A 25177-nucleotide genomic window follows, 5' to 3' on the forward strand; every position below is an offset into this window, starting at 1 on the left:
GCCAATTTTCCATAATGTTGTTCTAATATTGTAATTTGCTTTCTGTCATACAGAATGTAATTTACTTACGGTACAAATTTTAGGTAAGAGTAGATTCGAGTGAATGAAGGCTGGATGAACAGTGATACTGTACCTAAACACAGGTTCTGTGCATTTTAAGAATCATTGCAGACATTTGAATACTGGCAAATCTTTGTTATATTTAAATAAAATTAATATATCTATAAATTTAGCTTATATTTTTTCTTTTATTTTTATTTATACACATATGTATATAATATGACTACAAACAGTCAAAATAATATAACCAATTCCCACATACACACCATTTAGTACAAAGGATAAACATTATCTGTACCATTCAAGTACTCTGTGCACCCTGTCTTAATTGATTTTACCTTCTTCCCCCTCAAAATATTATCTTGATTTTCTCTAACCTGTTGTCTTAAACAGGTCTTGAAAAAACTGTGGCTGGGCACACTGGTACACCTGCAATTCCAGCTACTCAGAAAGCTAAGCCAGATTGCTTCAGGCCAGTAGTTTGAAGACAAAAAGTGCTGTGAAAAATGTTGGCTAGGCAAAGGGATTTGGGAATACTAGGCAAAATGTTAGACTGCTAAATGGGTGGTTCTGACAGGCTTCATTCATTTTTAACTTTTAAGTTCAGGGGTACAAGTGCAGGTTCATTACATAGGTAAACTTGTATCATGGTGGTTTGTTGTACAGATTATTTCATCACCCCAGTATTAAGCCTAGTAACCACTAGTTATTCTTTTGTATCTTCTCCCTCCTCCAATTCTCCACCCTCCAAAAGGCCCCAGTGTGTGTTGTCCCCCACTCTATGTGTCCGTGTGTTCTCATCATTTAGCTCCCACCTATGAGTGAGAACATGCAGTGTTTGATCTTCTGTTCCTGTGTTAGTTTGCTAAGGATAATGGTCTCTAACTACATCCACATCCCTGCAAAGAACAAGATCTTGTTCTTTTTTTATGTCTGCATAGTATTCCATGGTGTTTATATACCACATTTTCTTTATCCAGCAGACCACTGATGGGCATTTAGGTTGATTCCATGTCTTTGCTTAGAGAAGGAAATAAAAGGGTGTTCCAGAGGGAATACCCAGTGCCAAGCTCTGGTTCAGGAGTGTGGCTGGGATCCTCTAAAACTGCAAGCAGTTATAACTGAGAGTTCTTGCTTAAAGTGTGGTTTATGTTCACCCATCTGGTTATAACTGAGAGTTCTTGCTTAAAGTGTGGTTTATGTTCACCCATCTGGTTATAACTGAGAGTTCTTGCTTAAAGTGTGGTTTATGTTCACCCATGTGGTTATAACTGAGAGTTCTTGCTTAAAGTGTGGTTTATGTTCACCCATCTGGTTATAACTGAGAGTTCTTGCTTAAAGTGTGGTTTATGTTCACCCATCTGGTTATAACTGAGAGTTCTTGCTTAAAGTGTGGTTTATGTTCACCCATCTGGTTATAACTGAGAGTTCTTGCTTAAAGTGTGGTTTATGTTCACCCTTCTGGGACTATACTTTTGAAGTCTATACTTTTGGAAGGATAGATGTTTGATGTTTTTTTTTTCTTTTAAAACTAGTAAGTCATTTTTGTTCAGTTTTTTAAGTGTCTATTTTATATATTCAAAAGTAAGTTGATAATGCTTTCTTGTGCTCATTATGGCTTAAATTTCTACTATGTTTATAAGTGCTGACCCTCTTTTCATCATCATCTTGTGTCTTTTGATCTATCTCCTTCTTTTTCTCTTTACTTGGTAAACAATCTGGCTGGAAATTTGTCTATTTAACTATGGTTTTTAAAGAATCAACTTTATTTTTTATTGTACTGCTTCCTTCTTTCTCTTTGATATATTTTTACTTCATTATAATTTACACTTATTTTGTGTGTTTATGTTTATATTTCTTATATAATTCCAGCTTTTGCTGTATTCAACAGTCTTCCTTTTTATGTGCAATTTTTCACTGTCATTAAGTTCTAAATAAAGTATAACTTCTATTTTTATTTTTCTTTGAGTCATAAATTACATGCAAGCTTCTGTTTAAGTTTGCAAACAACAGCATTATCTGGCTGCCTCTTTTTATTGGGTTCTTTCTTACATTTGGGTCAGAAAACATAGTCAGTCTAAAACAGTTTTCTTGACCTCTAAACATTTTGCTAAATTCACTTATTCAAAATTTTCTGCTAATCAGAATATTATGTAACATAATCAGAACATACCACATTACACTCTGATAATCAATTCACTAGAAAGATATTGTCCCTTATGTATTAAAATTTGTTCATTTTTTGGAATTCTCAGAAATGTTTTTCAAGAACACTTTCCGTTAACATTTTACAAAATTTAAAAATGCAAGTAAATTTATGCCTAATCGTACATTAAGTATGATTTTATAAGTGGCATATAAACAGATTGATAATTCCTTTCCTAGAGTGTAGAGATGCCCTATGCACTGCAAGACAGTCAAGGGAAGGAGTTGGTTTGGTTTAGGATGAGTGATAAAGCATCTCATGAAGTATCTGTATGCTCAGTTTTAGAAAATGGATCCCATTTCTAAAAACTGGATTCATTGACTACATTATTAAATTGTTTCAATGCTGTATTCCACTATATGTTGCATTCTATAGAATGTTTACTTAACATCTTTGGAATAATCATTAAGTAAACAAAAACTGTCCCCTCTTCCTCAAAACTTTCTTTTATTCCCATGCTTATCCACTGTCATCAAAGTACCACATCTGACAGAAATAATTTTAATTTCACCATCAATTGCTAGGATATTAATTTAGACTACAAATAGCTGCATATAAACATAAATGAAAAAATATTTTTCCACTCTCGTTGTTGAAACAGTGGGAGTCCTGAATGATTTGATAGCTGTACAATTAATCAAATAATAGACTACTGGATTAAATCTCAGTGAACTAAAAATATCTGTGCATAGCTGTAAACAAAATTAAATTAATATCCTCAGTACCTCTTATGCCTTTAATGCTATCAGGATCAGTAGATGTGATTTTAAATGACGATTCATATAAATAGGAATATACGTAAAATTTAAAAATACTAAGTGAATTTATACCTAATTGTACTACATTATTAAGTATAATTTTCTGAGTGTTACTCCTAACCAGTAGCAAATATGTTATATATATGAGATATATGATATGTGTATATATGATATATGATATATATGTTATGATATATATATGATATGTGATATATATGTTACTGGGTAGCAGGTACAGTAGCAAGTTTTCTTTCTTAAAAGAATGGTATACTCTGGGTCTAAGAATGACAAACAGATGATGTGGTGGTCACTTACCAGAGTATTTTATTTATACTGATCTGTACCCCTAGAATATTCAAAAATGAGGATGTATGAGATATATAATACTTTTTATTCTATTTTTCTGAGTTTTCCCTCCCAGTTAGGTTTTCGGAATACAAACATGGAGCAGTTACATGACATAAGGGCAAATAGTATAAGAATTATTACACTTTATTCATTTGTATCTTGTATACTTCCTCTATTGGGTAAATGGATAGATGCAATGAACTGCTAAATAATACCTGTTGAATCCAACCTGAGTGAAAACAAAATCTTATGCCTATTGAAAAGCATACAATGTTTGTAGTAGGGAGAAAGGAATATGATAGATGTCTGATATTTAAATGTAAAAACGTTGGCCGGGCACTGTGGCTCACGCCTGTAATCCCAGCACTATTGGAGTCCGAGGCACAGGCAGATCATCTGAGGTCAGGAGTTCAAAACCAGCCTGGCCAATTTGGTGAAACCCCGTCTCTAATAAAATACAAAAATTAGCCAGGCTTGGTGGTGCCTGCCTGTAGTCCCAGCTACTTGGGAGGCTGGAGCAGGAGAATCACTTGAACCCGGGAAGTGGAGGTTGTAGTGAGCTGAGACCGTGCCACTGTGCTTCAACCTAGGTGACAGAGCAAGACTCCGTCTCAAAAAAAAAAAAAAGTAAGAACATTATATGCTAACGTGAATGAAATATAAACAATTTTTAATTTTATATTATATACAATGGCAGATCATAGCTGCACCTGTAAGAGAAGATCAAATTAAAATCAGTTATCTGTTTGTTTATTCTCTTATCAGTGCCTGGCTTTCTAGAAAAATTTAGCGATTTTCATGGAATTCTCTGATAAACATTATGAACTCATTTCTTTCTATAATATGTTGGTAATATTGGCCGTATATAATAATTTAGAACCTCTTATTCTCCTTTATTTTTCTCAGAGCAGTCATTGCCATTTGACATGTTATATTTTATTTTTGTTAGTTTCCTATTTTACCATACAGCTAATTAAAATGAACTTTTCATTAATTCAATTACTGTTCTTTTCACTGTTATAGCCCAAGTATCTAAAACAGTGTCTAGCACTAAGTAGTCACCAGGTAAGTCTTTGCTGAGTGAATAAATCTTAGAAGGAAAGGAGAGAGAAAATCTAGATCCTTTATAGTATCCATGGTTTTCTACAAACAGGTAGAATGTAATATTTTATTATTTTGCACCATGTAAGTTAGAATCATTGTGGAACATCACATTTATACAATTCTTATTAGACTATATCTAGATCTCTTTTAAAATAAGCAAGCAAGCAAGCAAACAAACAGCAATGAAGATACGCTGAAGAAGTTTTGGGAGGAGGACCTACATCTTTACAGTTTCACCCACAACTTACCCATACCCTCCTTCAATGAATTCCTAGGGCTTCTTAGAAAATAGTGGATGCAATTCAGGAAGTGTTTGTTTTAAAACACCAAGAATGATGACTGTCCAAATTCAGAATGTGTTCATGTATTCCATAGACAATGACTGAATATCTACTAGGTTCTGAAAAATGTACTAGTTGCTGTGGTGGATAAAATAATAATAATACACTGTAAGACAGTCAGGGGAAGAGGTTGGTTTGGTTTAGGATGCATGATAAGATATCTCATGAAGTATCTATATACTCAATTTTAGAAAATGGATCCCACTCTTAAAAACTGGATTCATTGATGGCATTATCAAATTGTTTCAATGTTAAATTTCACTATCTATAGTGTTGGAATATTAGTCCAGTAACAATATGAAACCAAAGATACATCACTATCCAGTAAGGCAGTTTATATTATTACCACATAGTACAATGTGTTAACAGAGATCAAAGATAAATGAACACTTCCAACATAAAACGTATAATAATTTACTTCAGGTAACATATTTTTAAATTATGGGTATAATTATGGGCATAATCATAATTACTACTTAGAAATGTATTATGTGTATCATTTAACATTTTATATATAACATTTTGAATTTTTAAAATATTTATGGGTCCTTGTTGTTAAAATGAAGTGGCGTTCCAGAAATAGTTGATTGTAGATTTGTTGCACGTAAAACAGAGAAATCCAGCATTTATAGGTAACACCACAGTTAAGAGGAAAGAAAACTAAGAAAATTGCAGTAGAATACTTTTGTGAGGAAAAAATGAAATGTCAAAGATAAAATTTTTATGGTTCTTTAATCACAATCATCAAATTGTAACAAATGGAACTTTAAAATTGAATTTGTCTCTTGTCTGAATTACACCTGAGATTATACCTGCACACCAAGTGAAGAATCATATTTCAAAATGCATTTCATTTGGCTTTTAACACAGTTATTCTGTTGAAGACATTTCTGTAAAGCTTGCCAGATACAGGAAAAGCAATTTAATAAACACTGTGATCAAATAACTACTCAATTGTTCTTCATCTTTTTTAACATTTAACACCTTGCAGATCATTGCTACAATAAAGTGTGTTATCCCCTTTTCACAATGATTCATTAACCTGTATTAATTGTTCTTTACAAAGTTGTTTTTATACATCTTACTAACTACCAATGTGAGGAAAAGGTCTATGTTGCTTTCATTCAGTAGAAAACACATGCACTTTAATAATATTGTTTCTTAAAAAACACCTATTGGTTTGTTTTCTTTCAGTTTCTCATTTATCATCATTTGTTCATCTTCACTGAAAGCTGAACATATGCAGCCTAACAACAACTTGAATTAATTGAATGTTTCGTATCTATTCTCCAAATTAAATTTTCAGTTTTGCTCACCTTTTCATGATTATATTAAGAAAATGTAGCCATAATTGCTTGTATGGGAAAAATTACTGAGAAAGACATTCAGATTAAATGTAGGAAATGCTCTAAGGATCTTTGAAAGGAAAGAAATGTCAGGTTCTATATTGTATTCAAGGAAGATAGGAGATGAAAGTGTCAGATATGCAAGGCAGATAAGAAAATAGTTTTTAAAAATAAGTCATAGACATTCTTTTTCTGATAGTTATTGAAAAATCCTGTTCATCAAAAGATATCTTAAATCAATAAAGATTTCCTCAACAACCAGACAAAATCGTTCTGTGTGTGTGTATGTCTTATTGGAACTGTAATTATATTTACAATACTATAATTAGTCGTGTTATTAACTCTTGTTACTCACTAGAACATTATTGGTAATAAGCAGTGACATATCTTAAAGATTTTTCTTGTGTCCCAGCGTCTGCCCAGTGATTAATATGTTAAGCTCCATAAATGTTTATTCAACGAGTAAATTAGTGACTAGGTACTAAGTTCTTATTCTTGTGTACAGTCACCTATCAAATCTTTCCACTCTTCTCTGGGCAATTGGGGAAGCTATGTATAGAAAATGGAAGAGTCTCTGTCAGCCTGGGTTACTAAGGGTGAACCTGAACTTTCTCTGAGTGAAAAAAAAATCTATTTTACTGAGCCACAGAGATTTGGATATTCATATTTTATAGCAGTATTAACTAATACAAGGTATTTTTAACCTTTAAAAGAAAAGAAGAAAAAGTAGAAGTGATACTAATTTCCCAGATGCCATCCAACTCCTCTTTCACCAATAGATAGCATTGAAAGGCGGGAATCAGTGCCTCCTCCTAGTGATAGTGCCTCAGTTGAGCAGGGCTTATTCCGAACTCAGTATGCAACATCCCGACAGGGCAAATCTAGGGATTGCTCTCAAGTCACTATCCAACATCCCGATGGGTTGAATGGCATGCCAAACACAGCAATAAGCACTATAAAAAAGCCAGGCCGCCCCGGGGTGGGGCCACGTGGCTTCAGACCAGAGAGCGGAGCTACCTTGGCCCAAGCGCTGCAGCTGCCTGAACCCCAGGGCTTCGCAGCCTTGCTTGTTTTCTCTGAACCGCAATAGGACGGTGTTCACAGCGATTCAAAGGGTGGCATTGGGTTGGACGTTTTGGTTACGAGCCAGCCTATTCCCACATTGTACGTGAATGTTTAATGTGCTCTCAAAACATGGAAAATAAGTTTAGTGCACATAGCTAAATCACAAAACATCCGATTTCTGTTTCCTCAGGAAGTCATTACTGCGCCACCACATCACGTGACCTTAACATGATCAATGTATTTCTCTGCCTTGACATTTAAATAAACTATATAAATTAAGATAAGTAGATTAGAAAATCATTCAAATTATACCATAATCTGTACAAATATTGTGTCCCCTGCCAGGCAAGGGACAGGGTGCGGGCGACGGCCGCGTGGCCAAGGCCCCGCAGGAAAGCGCCCAGGTCTCCCTCACTCTCCAGGTGCCCTTTGCACCCAACAGTGCGTGTGAGGAACGAACTGCTGTTTGAGCGTCCCCTGAGATTGTGCGTAGCCCCGTGTAAATGTAATAGCCTCCATGGCTTAATTGGCTAGCAAGCGAATTTTCCCAGATGAAAGCAATGTTGGGTTAGGGGACGACGGTGCAGCCACCCAGCCTTTACCAGCAGCGTGCTGCAGACGAAGGCAGTCAAGGTGTGGAGGTGATCACGCAGGTACATGTTTTTGACTGTTTAATTTGAAAGTTCACATTTTTTATGCTTTGTGTTGATGTGTAATTTTTGTACTCTTGGTGACTAGTTTTTGTCAAATCTTTTTTGGAATATTGCTTAAATGTTTTGATTTTATGATAGTGAAGCTTGTATTCGGTGTTTTGCCAATTAATATTTTATGCTAGTAAAAAAAGCAAAAGAGAAAAAAAAAGATCTTAGTCTGTTTCTAAGGCCCAGACCACACAAAGTATCCATTTTCCTCTCTTGTCTATAAAACAAAACTCACCTTATCAACAGTTTCTGTTCTACCCAAAGATGTTAAATAAAGTCCAAGGTAGTGGGATGGGGGAAGTGATGTTTTATTGTCTATGGCACGTGTGTTCCTAGGACCTATAAAAAGGAAAGCAGGTAAATGACTTTGATCTGTTTGATAAATGATTTTTATCTTGAGTAGTGTAGTCACTTAAATATGTTGATCCTCCTTCTGGGTGGAAATTATTTCAATACCATGTTGTTTTTGTTATTATTAACTATATATATTATTATGTATATAATAATACATAAAAGTTATAGGAATGAAATAAAAAATTATTGAAATCCTAACACACAGTTGTAGCTATTTTTCATTCATGTATTTATTAAATATTATTAAATTATTCACCACATAATAAATAGTAAAGCATTTTCCACATAATCATATCTACCGTTTTATTCATGGAAATCATTTTATTTGATTATTTAATATTTATTTTAGATTAAGCATGCATGTGTACATTTGTTACATGAATATATTGCATGATGCTGAGGTTTGGGCTTCTATTGAACATATTATCTGAATAGTAAACATAGTATCCAATAAGTAGCTTTTCAAACCTTGCCTTCCTTCCTTCCCCTGTTTTGGAGTCCCCAGTGTCTGTTATTTCCATCCTTTTGCTCCTGTGTACCCAAAGTTTAGCTCTCACCTATAAGTGAGGACATGCGGTATTTGGTTTTCTGTTTACATCTTAATTCATTTAGGATGATGGCATCCAGGCACATCTATGTTACTGCAAAGGAAAGGATTTCATTCTTTCTTCTGGCTACATAGTATTCCATGGTGTATATGCATCATAGTTTCTTTATCCAATCCACCATTGTTGGAAACCAATGTTGATTCCATGTCTTTGCTATTTCATATTTGCAATATAACATGCAAGTGTGCAGAAGCTCTTTAGTTTAATTTGGTCTCACTTGTCAACTTTTGTTTTTGTTGCTTTTGTGTTTTAGTACTTAGTCATAAATTCTTTGCATAGGCCAATATCCAAAAGAGCTTCTTAGGTCTAATTCTAGGCTTCTTATAGTCTAAAGTTTTACATTTAAGTCTTTAATCAATCTTGAGTTAATTTTTTTATATGGTGAGAGACAGGAGTCTAATTTCATTCTTCTGAATATGGTTAGCCAGTTTTCCCAGCACCATTAATTGAATAGGGTATACTTGCCCCATTGTATTTTTATCAATTTTGTTAAAGATCAGTTGGTTGTAGGTATGGGACTTCATTTCTGGATTCTCTATTTTGTTCCATTGGTCTATGTGTCTGTTTTTGTACCCAAACCATGCTATTTTGGTTATTGTAGCCTTGTAGTATAGTTTGAAGTCAGGTAATGTGTTGCCCCTGCCTTTGTTCTTTTAGCTTAAGATTGCTTTGGCTATTCAGGCTCTTTTTTAGTTAAATACAAATTTTAGAATTGATTTTCTAATTCTGTGTAAAAATAACTTTGGCAGTTTGATAGGAACTGCATTGAATTTGTAGATTGCTTTGGGCAGTAAAGACATTTTAATGATGTTGATTCTTCCAATCCATAAGCATGTAATATTTTTCCATTTGTTTGTGTCATCTATGATTTCATTCAGCAGTGTTTTGTAGTTCTACTTAAAGAGATCTTTTACCTCCTTGGATAGAGGTATTCCTAAGTATTTCTTTTTTTTTTTTTCTGTGGCTCTTGTAAATGGGATTGTGTTCTTGACTTGGTTCTCAGTTTGAATATTGCATTGTATAGAAATACTACTGCTGTTTGTATATTGATTTCTTATCTTAAAACTTTACTGAAATTTTTAATCAACTCTAGGAGTCTTTGGTCAGAATCATTAGGGTTTTCTAGGTATAGAATCCTATCATCAGTGAAGAAATAAAATTTAATTTCCTCTTTTCCTATTTGGATGCCTTTTGTTTCTTGCTTTTGTCTGATCATTCTGGCTAGGGCTTCCAGTATTAAGTTGAATAAGAGTGGTGAAAGTGGATATTCTTGTCTTGTTCTTGTTCTTATGAGAATTCTTTCAACTTTTGCCTGTTTAGTATAATGTAGACTAGGTTTGTCAATAGATGGTTCTTATTATTTTAGGTATGTTCTTTGAATGCCTAGTCTATTGAGGGTTTTAATTATGAAGGCATGTTGGATTTTATCAAATGTTTTACCTGCATCTGTTGAGATAATCTTATGTTTTTTTTTCATTTTAAATTCTGTTTATGTGGTGAATCACATTAACTGATTTGCATATATTTGAACAACCCTTACATCCCAGGAATAAAGTTCACTTGATATTGTATTATCTTTTTGATGTGCTGCTGAATGTGGTTTGCAAGTACTTTGTTGAGGATTTTTTCATTTATGTTCATCAGATATATTGGCCTAGGGTTTTGTTTTTTGTGTGAGTATTTGCCATATTTTGGTATCAGGATGATATAGGTTTTGTAGAGTAAGTTAGAGGAGAATCTCTCATCCTCGATTTTTTGGAATAGTTTCAGTAGGATTGGCATGAGCTCCCCTTTGTATGTCTGGTAGAATTCAGCTATGAATTCATCTAGTCCCAGGCTTCTATTACTTATTCAATTCATTCTGTAATTCATTGTTGGTCTGTTCAGTGTTTCAGGTTCTTCCTGGTTCAATCTTGGGAAGTTGTGTGTTTCCAGGAACGTATTCATTTCTTCTAGGTTATCTAGTTGTGCACATAGAAATGTTCATAGTAGTCTCTGAGAATCTTTTGAATCTCCGTGGGACTCGATTGAATGTCGCCTTTGTTATTGCTGATTGTGCTTATTTGGATCTTTTCTTTTTTGTTAATCTTGCTCGCAGTCTATCAATTTTGGTTACACTTTCAAAGAACCAACTTTTCATTTTGTTGATCCTTTGTGTGGATTTTTGAGTCTCGATTTTATTCAGTCCTGTTCTTATTTTTGTTATTTCTTTTCTTATGCTATATTTGGATGTAGTTTTTTTTCTTGTTTTACTACTTGCTCTGGGTGCAATGTTAGATTGTTAATTTGAGATATTTCTATCTTTTTGATGTAGGTATTTAGCACTATAATCTTTCCTTTTTAAACTGCTATTATTGCATCCCAGAGGTTTTTGTTCATTGTGTCTCTATTTTCATTTGTTTAAAAAATTCTTTGATTTCTGCTTTAATTTTATTGTTTACCCAAACAAAAGTCATTCAAGAGTAATTTCTTTAGTTTCCGTGTGTGTTTGTGTGTGAGTGTCTGTGTTTTAGAGTTCCTCTTGCTATTGATTTTTATTTTTATTCTACTGCGGTCCAAGAAGATGCTTGATATTATTTGATTGTTTTTATTTCTTGACACTTGCTTTATAACTGCATATGTGATCACTCTTAGAGTATGTTCCATGTGAAGATGAGAAAAAAAATATATATTGTGGTTGTTGGGTAGAGTATTCTGTAGATGTCTATTAGGTTCAATTGGTCAAGTGGCAAATTTAAGTCCAGAATTTATTTGTTTAGATTTCTGCCTCAATAATCTATCTACCACTGTCAGTGGAGTGTTGAAGTTCCCAGTTATTACTGAGGGGCTGTCTACCTCTTAGGTCTAGTAGTGATTTCTTTATGTATCGTGATGCTCCAATTAGTGTTGGGTGCATATTTATTTAAGATAGTTAATTATTCTTATTGAATTGAGCCCTTTGTCATTAAGCAATAACATTTTTTTGTCCTTGTTTCTGTTTTTGGCTGAAGATCTGTTTTCTCTGATATGAGAATAGAAACTCCTGCTCTTTTTTGTTTTCCATTTGCATGATTAATCTTTCTCTATCCCTTTACTTTGAACCCATGAGTGTCATTACTTGTGAGATGGGTCTCTTGAAGACAGCAGATGGGTGATTCTGATTTTTTTATTCCAATTCGCCACTGTATGTCTTTTAAGTGGAGGATTTAGGCCATTTATGTTCAAGGTTAACATTGATATGTGAGATTGTGTTCCTGTCATAGTTTTGTTAGCTAGTTTCTTTGCAGTCTCAATTGTGTAGTTGCTTTATAGAGTCTGTGGACTATGTACTTAACTGTGCTTTTTCTGTGTATTGTTCTTTTATGTCCACATTTAGAACTCCCTTAAGCATTTCTGCAGGGCTAGTCTGGTGGTGATAAATTCCCTTACCGATTGCTTGACTCAGAAAGACTCAATTTCTCCTTCGTTTATGAAGCTTAGTTTTGAAGAATATGAATGTTTATGCTGGAATGTCATTCCTTTTAGAGTACTAAACATAGACCTCTAATCTCTGCTGGATTGTAAGGTCTCTTCTGAGAAGTCCACTGTTAGTCTGATGGGTTCCCTTTGTAGGTAGTGTTGCTCTTTTCTCTAGCTGTGTCTGAGATTTGTTTTTTCTTTTGTGTTAACCTTGGATAGTCTAACGACTATGTGTCTTGGGGATGGCTGTCTTTATAGTATATAACAGGGGTTCTCTGGATTTCTGGTGTATGCATGTCAACATCTCTAGCAAAATTGAGAATATTTTCTTGAATTTTTTCCTCAGATATGTTTTCCAAGTTGGTTACTCTTTCTTTTCTCTCAGGAATACCAATAAGTTGTAGAAGTGGTTTCTTTACATAATCCCATATTTCTTGAAGGCTTTGTCTTTTTAAAAAATATTTTTTCTTTATTTTTGCATGACTGGGTTAATTTGAAGAATCAGTCTTCAAGCTTTGAAATGTTTCCTTCTGCTTGGCCTAGTCTGTTTTTAAGTCTCCCAACTATATTTTGAAATTTATTTAGTGAATTTTTCAGTTCCAGAAGTTCAGTTTGGCTCTTTCTTAATATAACTATGTTGTCTTTCAAATCTTGGACTGTTTTTCTGGTTTCTTTGCATTGGATTTCTATTTTGTCTTATGTCTCATTGACTTTCCTTGACATCCATCTTCTGAGTTCTATGTGTCTCATTTCAGACATTTACATCTGGTCAGGATCCTTTCCTAGGGAGCTAGTGAGAGGCTTTGGAGATCACAAAACACTCTGGCTTTGTGTATTGCCAGACTTCTTGTGCTTATTCCTTTCCATCTGCGGGAGTTGACACTTCTTTTTTGAATTTGCTTCATTTAGATGGGGTTTGTATTAGTCAGAGTTCTCTATAGGTACCGAAGTAATAGGATAGATGTACATTTGAAGGGGAGTTTATTAAGGATCATTGAATCACACGATCACAAGGTAAAGTCCCACAATAAGCCATCTGCAAGCTGAGGAGCAGGGAAGCCAGTCCGAGTCCCAAAACCTCAAAAGCAGGGAAGCTGACAGTGCAGCCTTCAGTCTGTGGCTGAAGGCCTGAGAGCCCCTGGCAAACCACTGGTGTAAGTCCAAGAGTCCAAAAGCTGAAGAACTGGAAGCATCCAGCACAGGATAAAGATGAAAGCCAGGAGACTCAGCAAGTCTGCTCTTCTGCCTTCTCCTGCCTGCTTTGTCCTAGCCGTGCTGGCAGCTGATTAGATGGTGCCCACCCAGATTGAGGGTGGTTCTGCCTCTCCTAGTCCAGACTCAAATGTTAATCTCCTTTGGCAACACCCTCCAAACACACCCGGGAACAATATTTTGCACCCTTTAATACAATCAAGTTGACACTCAGTATTAACCATCACAGGGCTTTTATATTTTTTATTCTCTTTGAAAGTATGACAGTGGTGTATGTGATTGATTGGCTTCATTTCTCGGTAGTTGCAGAGGGTGAAGTTTCCATATATGTTCCTTGGTTACAGATAGGTTGCTGCAGTGGCTTTCACAGATGTTGCTTGTTTTAGCAATATATTTTTATATGATGGTATAACTTCAGTCTGGTAGATGGACTTAAGAGTAAGAGCTGGCAGGTGGGGTCTTGGTGCATGTTTGTCCTCACTGGAGAATCATGAGAAACAACTTCTTTCAGTGCACGCTTTCTGGGCCCCTATGGGAAGAGCTATTGTTGCATCTGCAACAGTGTACTGGGGAAGGGAGATGGAGGCGAGACATAATTCCTTCTCCAAGTCTGGTTCTGGGCCTTGGTGGTGCTCCTTTCAGTGGCTTATGCCATGGCCGCATTTTCTTTGTCTCATGTTGTGCTTTGCAGGCTGCACTCCCCCTTCCCTTAGGGATGGTCCACACTGAGGATTACATCTCTAGGGACACACAACTCTCCAGAGACCCACCAGTCCACTGTGCTTACCAAAGTCAGAGCAGGTTTTAGGGTATGTCTGCAGTTGCTCTGATGATGCAGTATTTCAAGGGTAGAGGATCTCCAGGCAGGGCAGTGGCACAATGGGTGCAACACCAGTATGGAGTCTGCAGCCCATGATTTTCAGCCCAGCAGGCAACCATGGAGTCTGCCTAGCTTACACTCCCCTGACCCAGCAGATCTCCCACAGACACTCGCCCTGGCGGCAAGCCCAACCAACTAGGCTTTCCCCAAGCCATCTGCTCCCACATTGTTGAGCTGCTCCAGGCATTCTGTGCCAGGACACTCCCTGGGAAAGAAGCTACCACCATCAGGCCATACCCTTCATGGTCTGGTCTTGCAAAGGGAGGGGCGTCCAGCTCCCATGCCCCCATGAGAACCCATACCACACCCTTCTCTGCATTCTGACTATGGAGGATCCTCCTTCACTTGAGATTAGGTTACAAATCTCAGCTCAGTGTCCCTGGGTGGTATACTTGAGTCTTGGGGAGTTGGGACTGGGCTCACGGATTTGTCCTCTGGCCTCTAAGCTTCAAGCACTGGCTGTGACTTGGGGACAGGGTGGTGAGCTTTTCCCAGGCTGTCAACAAAACACTCAAGCTATGCAGTGGATGCTGTGCTGTGGACACCCTCTTGCAGGCATGACCAGGCATGAGCTCTGGGAAGGGGTTGACAGGCAAGGGGGCATGTGGACCAGATGCAACTTAATCACACAGCACTGGTGATGGGGCCTATCTTGGGCATGTGAGCAGGCCAGGCGCGGTTCACTCCCAGCCTGGCGGACAGCAGGAACTTAGCCACTCAGTATGAAATGGAGGCTTGTGGGATGGGCACCTAGGGTTGCATTTTGCTGCAGCTGCACAGCACAACAAAGCCTTCTGGGCTCTGTGTGGGCTCAAACTGTGCCTCTGCATGTGCTCGAGGCAGCTCTCCTACCAGTCCAAAGATCTATGAGGGTCGTAGAAACTCCTGTAACTAGGATCTCAGAGGTACATTATGGGTATGTAGTGTCCCAGGGTTCCTTCACTCACCCCTTCCTTGGGTTTGTTCAGGGTATATGGGCCAGTCCTGATGTCTAGTGACTCTGAGCAGACTGTCCCATTTCTTCCCTCTTCAACCATGGTGTCTGTGTCACCTCTGTGTCAACTTTCAGTGTTTTCTCTCAAAAGATCTGTTTAAAATGTGAAGGTTTACTAGATATTTGGGTTCCTCTCCATGGAAGAGGCACTTCCCAACTGCATCTCCTTGGCCATCTGCCATTCTCCAAATCTTTTTTGGTGCCTATTTTTCCTTTTTACTTTCTGTGCTTCCTCCTTATTCTCTTCCTCCAACACTGATATGTACTCTGACATTCAATTCTAAATATATATATTATAAAAAATAGATATAATGTGCATATATGTGTTCATTAAGGATAGAATACTTGGCTGGGCACGGTAGCTTATGCCTGTAATCCCAGCACTTTGGGAGGCCGAGGTGGGCGGATCATGAGGTCAGGAGATCGAGATCATCCTGGCTAACACAGTGAAACCCCGTCTCTACTAAACAAAATACAAAAAATTAGCCGGGCATGGTGGCGGGTGCCTGTAGTCCCAGCTACTTGGGAGGCTGAGGCAGGAGAATGTCGTGAACCCGGGAGGTGGAGCTTGCAGTGAGCTGAGATCATGCCACTGCACTCCAGCCTGGGCGACAGAGCAAGACTCCATCTCAAAAAAAAAAAAAAAAAAAAAAAAAAATTCAGAAAGAAGGTTACTACATCTGAATTTCTGAAGATGGTTTTAGTAGGGATGAATTCAATGTAATCCATGGATTATTCATGACTTTGTAGAAAGGTTAATGAATGTTTCTTTTAGCCACTCGGGTTGGGACCTCTGAATCAATAGGAAGCATAAATGAGAGATGTCAGGGGAGGATTGAAGGATGCTGATGGAGTTGGGAAGGCCTGAAGTGACCCGCCTGTGCTAGACTGAAAGTGATTCAGGCCCCACCCAAATGCATGAGCAGTGGAGCCTAAATCCTTCACAACTGCACATTAGAGGAGAGAGGATTTGACCATCATCCTGGAATTAGAGTTACTGTTAATCAAGGTAGGAGGACAAGATGCGTTCCCACTTCTGACTCTGATTGCCCTAAATAGAGGCCCTGAGTGGTAATAATTTGTTTTGAAACTAGGAGACAGTTCAGTCAGTGTTTCATCAGATTCATGTTTTGCTGAAAATACTGGCACATTCCTCCATTTAATGAGGAGTCACCACAGGTAACTCAAGGGCCTTAGTCCTGCTGCCCACATAAGGGAGTTCTGGTCCTGAGGAAATGGGGCCGTATTTGAAGGTAACGAAAGGGATAAGATGAGACATGATGGTGTGATGAGTATTCCAGTGACTGCTTTTGGTAAATTTGGGCTGGCATGTGGGTTTCAGTTCCTCTGTCAAGAAAGGAAATGCTCCTCATGACTGACAAAAGCAGGAACAGGTTTTATCATCAGCTCTACACCAAGGCTCTCCAGTTACTAGAGTGGTCTCTAGAAGATAGCATTATCAGCAAATTCCATTAGCAACTAACTTGCTTCTGTGGTGCTGTGTTGTTGTTAATAGTTTTAATTATAGCAGCTGCAAAGCAGGGAACCTGATCCAAAAAAGGCACAAACCAAAACCTGTGCTCCTAAGGAGATTATGAGAAATGAAATCACCAACACTGGCCTCTCTTTGGGAGGAAACTGGAAATGGCAAGAGGGACCACTCATGGGCTAAAGCCCAGCACTTGGGTCACAACTCACCCTGGAGAGGCCAAGTATGGGCCCCATCGCTTCAGGCCTTGGCTGTGGATCACACCCTGGATTCTTCTCTTCCAGGCGCAGGTCAGTTGCCGTGATGCTCCTTGAGTCAATGAGCTCTTTGGTCTGCTCTTCTGCTCAAGCAGAAAATGATCTGCGCTTCACCCTTGAGAAGCTGACAAGAACCACAGGCTTCTTCAGGCAGGTGGTGGAACATGGGTGTATCCTTCAGGTGCTTACAGTATCTCCCTTTGCTCAGGTGACGGAGGCTTGGGGTTTTCCAGCTCTTGACCTAAAATTCCTGAATGATTGTTTTCAAATTTCTTAACGAATAATAGGATGAACTTGCCACCCCTGTCATGGGGGAATGGGGTTCCTGAGAGCTGAGAGGCCAGGATCCAGATCCTGAGCCTCTTCACCAAGCAGATGCTGTAGAGCAAAGGCAGCAACTATCTATCTATCTATCTATCTATCTATCTATCTATCTATCTATCTATCTATCTATCTTTCCCCTTCCCTTTAAGGAAATCCTCAGGACTAGGTGAGATCTTAGATCTAATGGAGAATCTGAGCTGCTCCAAGCAAAACCTCAGGATCCTGCAATCTGAAAAGGTAGAACCAAGGCAAATGTGGGCAGCAATACCCAGAAGTTGGGTACTGAGCCTGTTAGGGAGCATTTTTTTCAGGGGAGTGAAGTAAACAATGAGGTGTAGAGAGCAGCGAGAATGAGAAGCCAAATCACAGACTGCAAAATCACACAGCATCTGTCCTTTCTCCCTGGGCAGAGAGAGTATGATGGGTAGTCTCCAATATAGAAAGCCCATTGTGTCCTTCAGTTCCCCAAACAGTCGCAGAACAAGCCTGATTCTGAAATTTCTGTTCTCTTTAGGCTCTAGCCTGATTTTCTGGCTCATAAGGCCAAAGGGAGCTGGAAAGGTCCCCACGGCAGGACTCATGGTGGAGAGAGAATGATCTAGAGGATTCAGGCCTCTGCACACTGTGTCTGGGTCCCTCCTTAAAGAATGATAAAGACAAGTAAAGAGCTTGAAGCAGCCTGGAGTCCAGCCAGAAACCTTTAACTGAGCTTTAAAGGAGATGGTCACAACACTTTTCAGAATACTGGCAAAGGCCTCCTGTGGCCAAGTTTGTCCTGGGATGAGCAAAATTTAATGTTAACCTGCTGTATCTTTGCTTTTAATATATCTGCTTGCCCATCACAATGATATTATGGTTAATTTCACCAATTTGGTAACCTGCCTCTTGGGAAGTACGAAAGTAAGCAAGGGCCAGGTATGGTGACTCACGCCTGTAATCCCAGTACTTTGGGTGGCTGAGGTGGGTGGATTGCTTGAGCCCAGGAGTTCAAGACCAACCTGGGCACCATGACAAAACCCCGTCTCTACAAAATATACAAAAATTAACCAGGAGTGGCAGTGCATGGCTGTAATCCCAGCTACTCGGAGGCTGAGGTGGGAGAATCTCTTGAGCCTGGGAGGCAGAGGTTGCAGTGAGCTGAGATCACACCACTGCATTCCAGCCTGGGCAATGAAGTGAGACCCTGTCTCAAAAAAAAAAAAAAAAAAAAAAAAAGAGAAAGACAGTGAGGGTGTCCTGTGAATCAAATCTTTGAATGGATGTTTTCTTAACTAACCAAGACCTCTGTAAGAATTCTGTCTTTGATTCCACAATAAAGTGGTGTGAAATTACTATAAGCAAATGTTTACATGTCTCATTTAATCTTCACAGCAATCCTATGAGGCAAGTAGAATTGTTATCCTCATTTTCTGAGCGATGAAACTGAGGCTCAGGGGAGGGTGTGACCTTGCCAAGTCCCCACAACTGGAAACCACGGAACAAAATGACCTGAGTCACACATGCTAGAAAAAACTCATTGTGCCTCCCCATGGAGATTCACAATGGCTATTTCTGTTGCAATAGAGGATGAAGCAGGTGGTCTTTCCAATCAAGAGCTGTTAAGAAAGGCTCCAGTTCTCCCCGGGGAATCTCAGAATCAGACTGAAGATTCGGAAGAGCCTTTGCTGACCACTGAGTCAAACTCCCCAGAATCCTTTTGTAGTACCGCTGACCAGTGAGTGATCATCAAACCTCCAAAGACTTCGGTAATTTGCAGATTCTAGGGAAAATTCCATGAGTTAACAGAGGTGAAATTTGAAAGTTCCATAGAGAAATTCTGGAACTTGAAATTATCATAGGAAGATTATTATGCAATTTCGTTCCTGTTAGTAGTCTTTAATAAAGAGACTTCAGGTGAACACTGGGTTGAACCAAGATTACTTTCTCCCATTGTCACCATTCTGATTTCAGATTGTTCCTTGCTGGTTTATATCCTCTTCAATTCCATTTTGTACCAGATAGAGGCAGAGTAGAAGGAAAAACTGAACAACAAACCGCATTTGTGCCAGCTCGAGGGATAAACACCCTCTAAGGAGCATCTCAAGCTTTCCACAAGATTTCAACAGGGTCAACCCAGTTCACAGGCAGGTAGTGTGTCTTCAATGTGTGGCCAATCGCTGTTGGACAAACAGGAGGTGTTTTCCCCAGGATACCCTGCACTAGACTCGGCATCTTTTCAGTCTTCTTCCTATTCTGTCTCCTTCCCAGCACACTGACACTGGAAGCACACTAAGTCATCACATGAGCAATTCACAGGTGCCATGAAATACCTCACAAATGTACAGCACTTTAACTGTTGACCCCATGTATTAGGTAAGAAAGATATTATTATTTACATTTATCTATTGGAACTTGGGGGCACAGAGTGTTTAAATTACCTGCCCAAGGGCACACAAGTCACTCGCCTCTTGTGTTTCAATTATACAATGGCTTAGTGATTCTTTCTTTCAGACGATTGTTGTGAGGAGTGAATGGAATTAAATCAAGTCTATGTGGAAAGGGCCTGGAGCATGAGTTCTCAATGCAGGGTGACTACTGTCAGCACCAACTAGTTATGATAATGACCATGATGATGATGGGGAAATAATAACACCTTGAAGTAATAATAATGAAGTTAGAACGATACTCCCAAATGTATGAAAATTACATCTATAAAATGAGTTAGTTTATAAATCGTGAGAAAATGGGCATCCTCAGGTATTGCAGGTAGAAACACACAATGGAATAACTCTTGTCAGCAAGCTAATCCATTTCCAGGAATTTTTATTTTTTTTTTTTTGAGACAGAGTCTTCCTCTGTCACCCAGGTTGGAGTGCAATGGCATGATCTTGGTTCACTGCAACCTCTGCCTCCCAGGTTCAAGTGATTCCCCTGCCTCAGCCCCCCATTAGCTGGGACTACAGGCACACACCACCGTGCCCAGCTAATTTTTGTATTTTTAGTAGAGACGGGATTTCACCATGTTGACCAGGATGGTCTTGATCTCTTGACCTCGTGTTCTGCCAGCCTCGGCCTCCCAAAGTGCTGGAATTACAGGCATGATCAACCACCCCAAGTCCAGAATTTCCTAACAAGGTCCCAAGAGATGAAGGTGCTACTGTTCAGTGACCCCCTGCTCAAAAACACTGCCCTAGGAGATGGGGGCTCTTCTATGCCCCATTTTTACAGGTAAGGCTAGTCATGGAAGTGGGAGATAGAAAATAAAGGGTGGGGTCAGTTTCCTTTCTAAAAACCTAAATGCATGTCAGGCAAGTAGGGCTTAGAAAAGAATTTACCCTCCTTCACCTCTGTCACCTCATCCCTCCTTCCAACCTCCATCACTTGTGTGGCAAACTGGACTCGGAGCCAGAAGGCACCAGAAAAAGTGGAATGTGAGCCTGTAGGCCATCAAGGTGAAGCCCTGAGGATCCCCCGGGGCCAGTCCCTCCACTTTGATGCGGATAAGCCTCAGCTAGTGTCAAGTTGAAAGGAGAAAAAGACAGGTGAGTCACTGTTAAAGAAACAGGTTCACATATGTAGGTCTAGGAGCACTGCAAGTAGTTCTTACAGTGAGAGAGAGCAATTGTGCTCAACTCTGAATCCAGCACAAGGAAGTGGTAATTACACTCAAGGAGGAGGATGGGGGTTAGCAGATAGGAAATGACTATGAGGGAACATGAAGGGTAAGGGAGGATTCTGGCTAAACTGACCTAACGAGATTCTCGCTGAGCACAGGCCAAGGTTATCTGACATCAGCTGCGGGATGGTGGGGGATGAGGACCCTGATCAGTATATGGCGGACGGGGATTCCTGCCAGCTAAACTGACTTAGCAGGGTAATTTCCTAAAACTGAATTTTACAAAAAGTGCACAGATGGGTTTAGCAGAAGGTTCAGAAGCCTGACCAATGTACGGTCAAGCAAACAATTTCTGTCACCACACAGAATGCATGCTCCAGGGACCATACTGGGCCTCAGCATCTTCCTACCCCACCAGCTTCCAGGAGGGCATTTTGCCCTGGGCCTCCTGGGTGTTTCCTTGCCTGATCATTTCTAGGAGACAAGAGACTTGCACTTTATCATCTAGGATAAATTCAGTGTCAGATTTTTAAGCCTAAATCGGATGACAGTGCTTCAGTGACAATCTCAGTTATTTAAAAAGGGAGGTTCATTCATTCACCAGTTCTAAAGGTGCACATAAGACATTCTTTTTTTTTTTTTTACAAAAAAATTGAGACCAAGTTAAAAGAAAAAGAATGAAAAAAATCAAGCAACCCGAATCCCTTATATAATCTCTTCAAAACCCCAAACCAGGGAAATCTTCTCAATATAAACTTGGGAATTTTGTTGATCACTGACTGCAGTCTGGTGGTTTATACTTATTTTCTTGTGTCCTGTGTCCTCCCTTCTCCCACCCCCAGCCCCTCAGCAGGTGCTGCCTTCCTGTCTTGGTCTCATTGTCCTCAAATCAGACCTGCAGGTATGGTCCCAAGTGCTTCTAACCTTCATCCTCATATCCACGGGATCCCCTGAGAACCCAGCTTCTGTTATTGAGAACTGTCCCACCTGCCGACTAAGGAGTCTGATCTTTATTCAGAATCATTGCTAAGATACCAGAAGAAATAACATGTAAGAGTCTAGTATAGAACTCACAGTTCTGATCTGAGGAACTAACAATTGCTTATTTGAATCACTGTATTTCCTATTTATATTCTTTTTTTTTTTTTTTTTGAGATGGAGTCTCGCTATGTCTCTCAGGCTGGAGTGCAGTGGTGCAATCTCGGTTCACTGCAACCTCTGCCTCCCAGGTTTGAGCCGTTGTCCCTGCCTCAGGCTCCTGAGTAGCTGGGATTACAGGCGCCCACCACCATGCCTGGCTAATTTTTGTAATTTATTTTTTTTTTTTTTTTGAGACAGAGTCTCACTCTGTTGCCCAGGCTGGAGTGCAGTGGTGCCATCTCACTCACTGCAACTTCTGCCTCCCTGGGTTCAAGCAATTCTCCTACCTCAGCCTCCTGAGTAGCTAGCATTACAGGTGCCTGCCACCATGCGTGGCTAATTTTTGTATTTTTAGTAGAGACGGGGTTTCGCCATGTTGGCCAGGCTGGTCTCAAACTCCTGACCTCAGGTGATCCACCCGCCTTGGCCTCCCAAAGTGCTGGGATTACAGGTGTGAGCCACCACTCCCGGCCTATATTCATATTTCTATTCACAATATCTCCTACACAGTGTTTTCCTGTTCTATGGGGAGAAATCAGGCAGATAGCAGAAGACACAGGTCAGATCTCAGGAAGAGTTTCTATGGCCTCCAAACAAGCATTTATTGATTATAGATGTAGGGGTGAATATTACGAATATGGGGAGATGTCCCACAAGGTTAGCTCCTATGCTACCTAATGCACCAGGCAGCTTGTCCATAACTTAGTTTAAATATATCTGTCAGGCTCCATGCCCATTTGCTGTAAAAGCAAGATTACTGAGGTAATCTTAGATTTTAAAATGGAAAACTGGGCCTCACAAAAGCAGTTGGGAAAATTACCTGGAGATTGTTTCTAAGGCAGTGCCCAACTGTACCAAGCAAAGGACAACAAGTACAAAGTCAGAGCTTCATTAACTTGATGATTGATTCATTCACTTACTTAATGCAAGACTTCAGGGGAAGAAGAGTCGCTGAGTGGAGGAGATGGGAAACAATGCATTATGAAACGCCCATGGTCTCTGGATACCCACCCAGCCAGTCCCCACCCTCCTAGGGTCTGGTCTCGACCATCTCATCATGTGTTTTGAGGGTGCGTTTTCCTACCAGTTGTTTTTTTGTCTTTGAGACAGGGTCTCCTTTCGCCCAGGCTGGAGTGCAGTGGTGCGATCTCGGCTCACTATAGCCTCAACCTTCCGGGCTGGGCGATGCTGGTGCCTCAGCCTCCCGACTAGCTGGGACCACAGGCGCGGGCCACCACACTCGGCTAATTTTTGTATTTTTAGTAGAGAAGGGGTTTCGCCAGGGTGCCCACGCTGTTCTCGAACTACTGGGCTCAAGGGATCTGCCTGCCTCAGCCTCCCAAAGTGCTGGGATTACAGGCATGAGCCACCAGCAACACGCCCAGATTCTTCTACACCCTTAATTGGGAGGTAAGGCTTCTGCTTGCAGGCTGTGCGTTCTTCCAGCCAGCCGCACCTTTGCTGTGGACTAAACAGGAACCACTGGATTAGAGTCCTCTGGCTCTCTGCCCTGCAGGAGATTTTAATCAAAAATTCTAGGCCTAAGGGAAAAGCAGGGTTAAACTGAAAATGCACACAGGGCTCCTGTAAATTTCTTTTCATAAACCACCCGCCCAGGGCATTAAATAGGGTACTTAGTTGATCCGAACCCTCCAGGGAGACCTCCGACCCTTCTCTTCGTAGCCCCCAGCTCCCCTCCCCCGGTTCCACTGAGGCAAGGGGACTGAGCTGCTCCACATGCCAGGAGTCAGCACGCCGGAAGGCCCCGCCCAGCGGCTGGCGCAGCCAATCGCAGAGCGGGCAAGTGGTGGGGGCGGGCCTGCCTGGGCGGCAAGGGGGCAGGGGGGTCTAGGGGCTTTAGAGGTCAATTAGCTGCTTTCGGGCGGCCTTAGGCGACAGGAGACTCCTGGACCCAGCACCTGCCCACTGTGCCTGTCCACCTGTGGCTACAGCAGCTGAGACCCCAGTGGGCTAAGATTGGACAGGGGCCACCAGGGACCCAGCAAGTCCTTCAGCTCTGTGAGTGAGGGATTTTCCGGAGTGCCAGGCCGCAGTATTCCCAGGGCCGGTGGGGGTGGGACAGGGAGGCTCGACCCCGGCAAATCAGGCAGAGGCGCCCCTTGCTCCCTGCAACATCGCCCACGTCCTGGGGCCACAGTGAGCATGAGCGGAGGGCGGGAGCAAGAGCCAGGGGACCTGGCCTGGGTCCCCAGCCCAAAGCCTGGGAAGCTGCCTACCCACCCCTGTGTGGGCGCGGACACTGGGGACTCTGGCTTCCGGTGGTTCGGCCACCTGATTCAGTTTATGCTCTGTGAGGGGAGCTGGAGTGTTGGCAGGACTGGCCCACCTGCAGGACTGCAGGACTGCGGGAACGGCGGTAGATGGGTGCTCTCCTTCCCAGTTTGTCCTGGGAAGACATTCAATAACTGTTTCATTACAAGGGGCATTTGGAAAACATACTTCACCTTCTGTTGTGTATTAGCCAAGAACAAGGTGTGATGTGACTTCCCAATTATTGGGGATCCCTTTGTCCCTTCTTGAAATTAGATGTCTTCATTCTTGAGGTTTTGCCTGGATGACCTCAGCACAATTGGTACAAAACCTGGGCCAATGGTTTCCTAGTTTCCCGGTTGTTGCCTTAAGCTTCTCGCCCATCAGGTACCTTCCTGTCCTTTTCATAGCCTGTCATCATCATTCCAGAAAACTGTTTCAACTCCTACAGCTCTGGACAGGCTGCTTTTCATTTTGGTGGGTCCCTCCAATACCTCCACTTGCCCTGTTTTTCTCCAGCCACATCCTTGGCCTCTTCCACAGTCCTTAGGTAAATGCTTGGAAGAATAATTTAAATATTTTTATTCTACCATGGTGGCCCTAGTTTCTCAGGGGGTAGTAAAATGGCTTTTTAGGATCGGTCTAATCAGATCCTCATTTCTTTTCCCTTCCTAGATTTTTGAAAC

General features: G+C 40.4%; 1 long non-coding RNA gene across 1 annotated transcript; it reads left to right on the forward strand.

Annotated features, from left to right (window-relative positions):
- Positions 1 to 7659: 7659 nt before the first annotated feature.
- Positions 7660 to 18822, forward strand: FAM245B (family with sequence similarity 245 member B). The gene is made up of 3 exons (NR_187477.1): positions 7660 to 7881; positions 17189 to 17342; positions 18000 to 18822. It is a non-coding gene; the product is annotated as a family with sequence similarity 245 member B (long non-coding RNA).

Source organism: Homo sapiens, chromosome 10, assembly GCF_000001405.40.
Source record: "Homo sapiens chromosome 10, GRCh38.p14 Primary Assembly".
In the NCBI taxonomy this organism is placed as follows: Eukaryota; Metazoa; Chordata; class Mammalia; order Primates; family Hominidae; genus Homo; species Homo sapiens.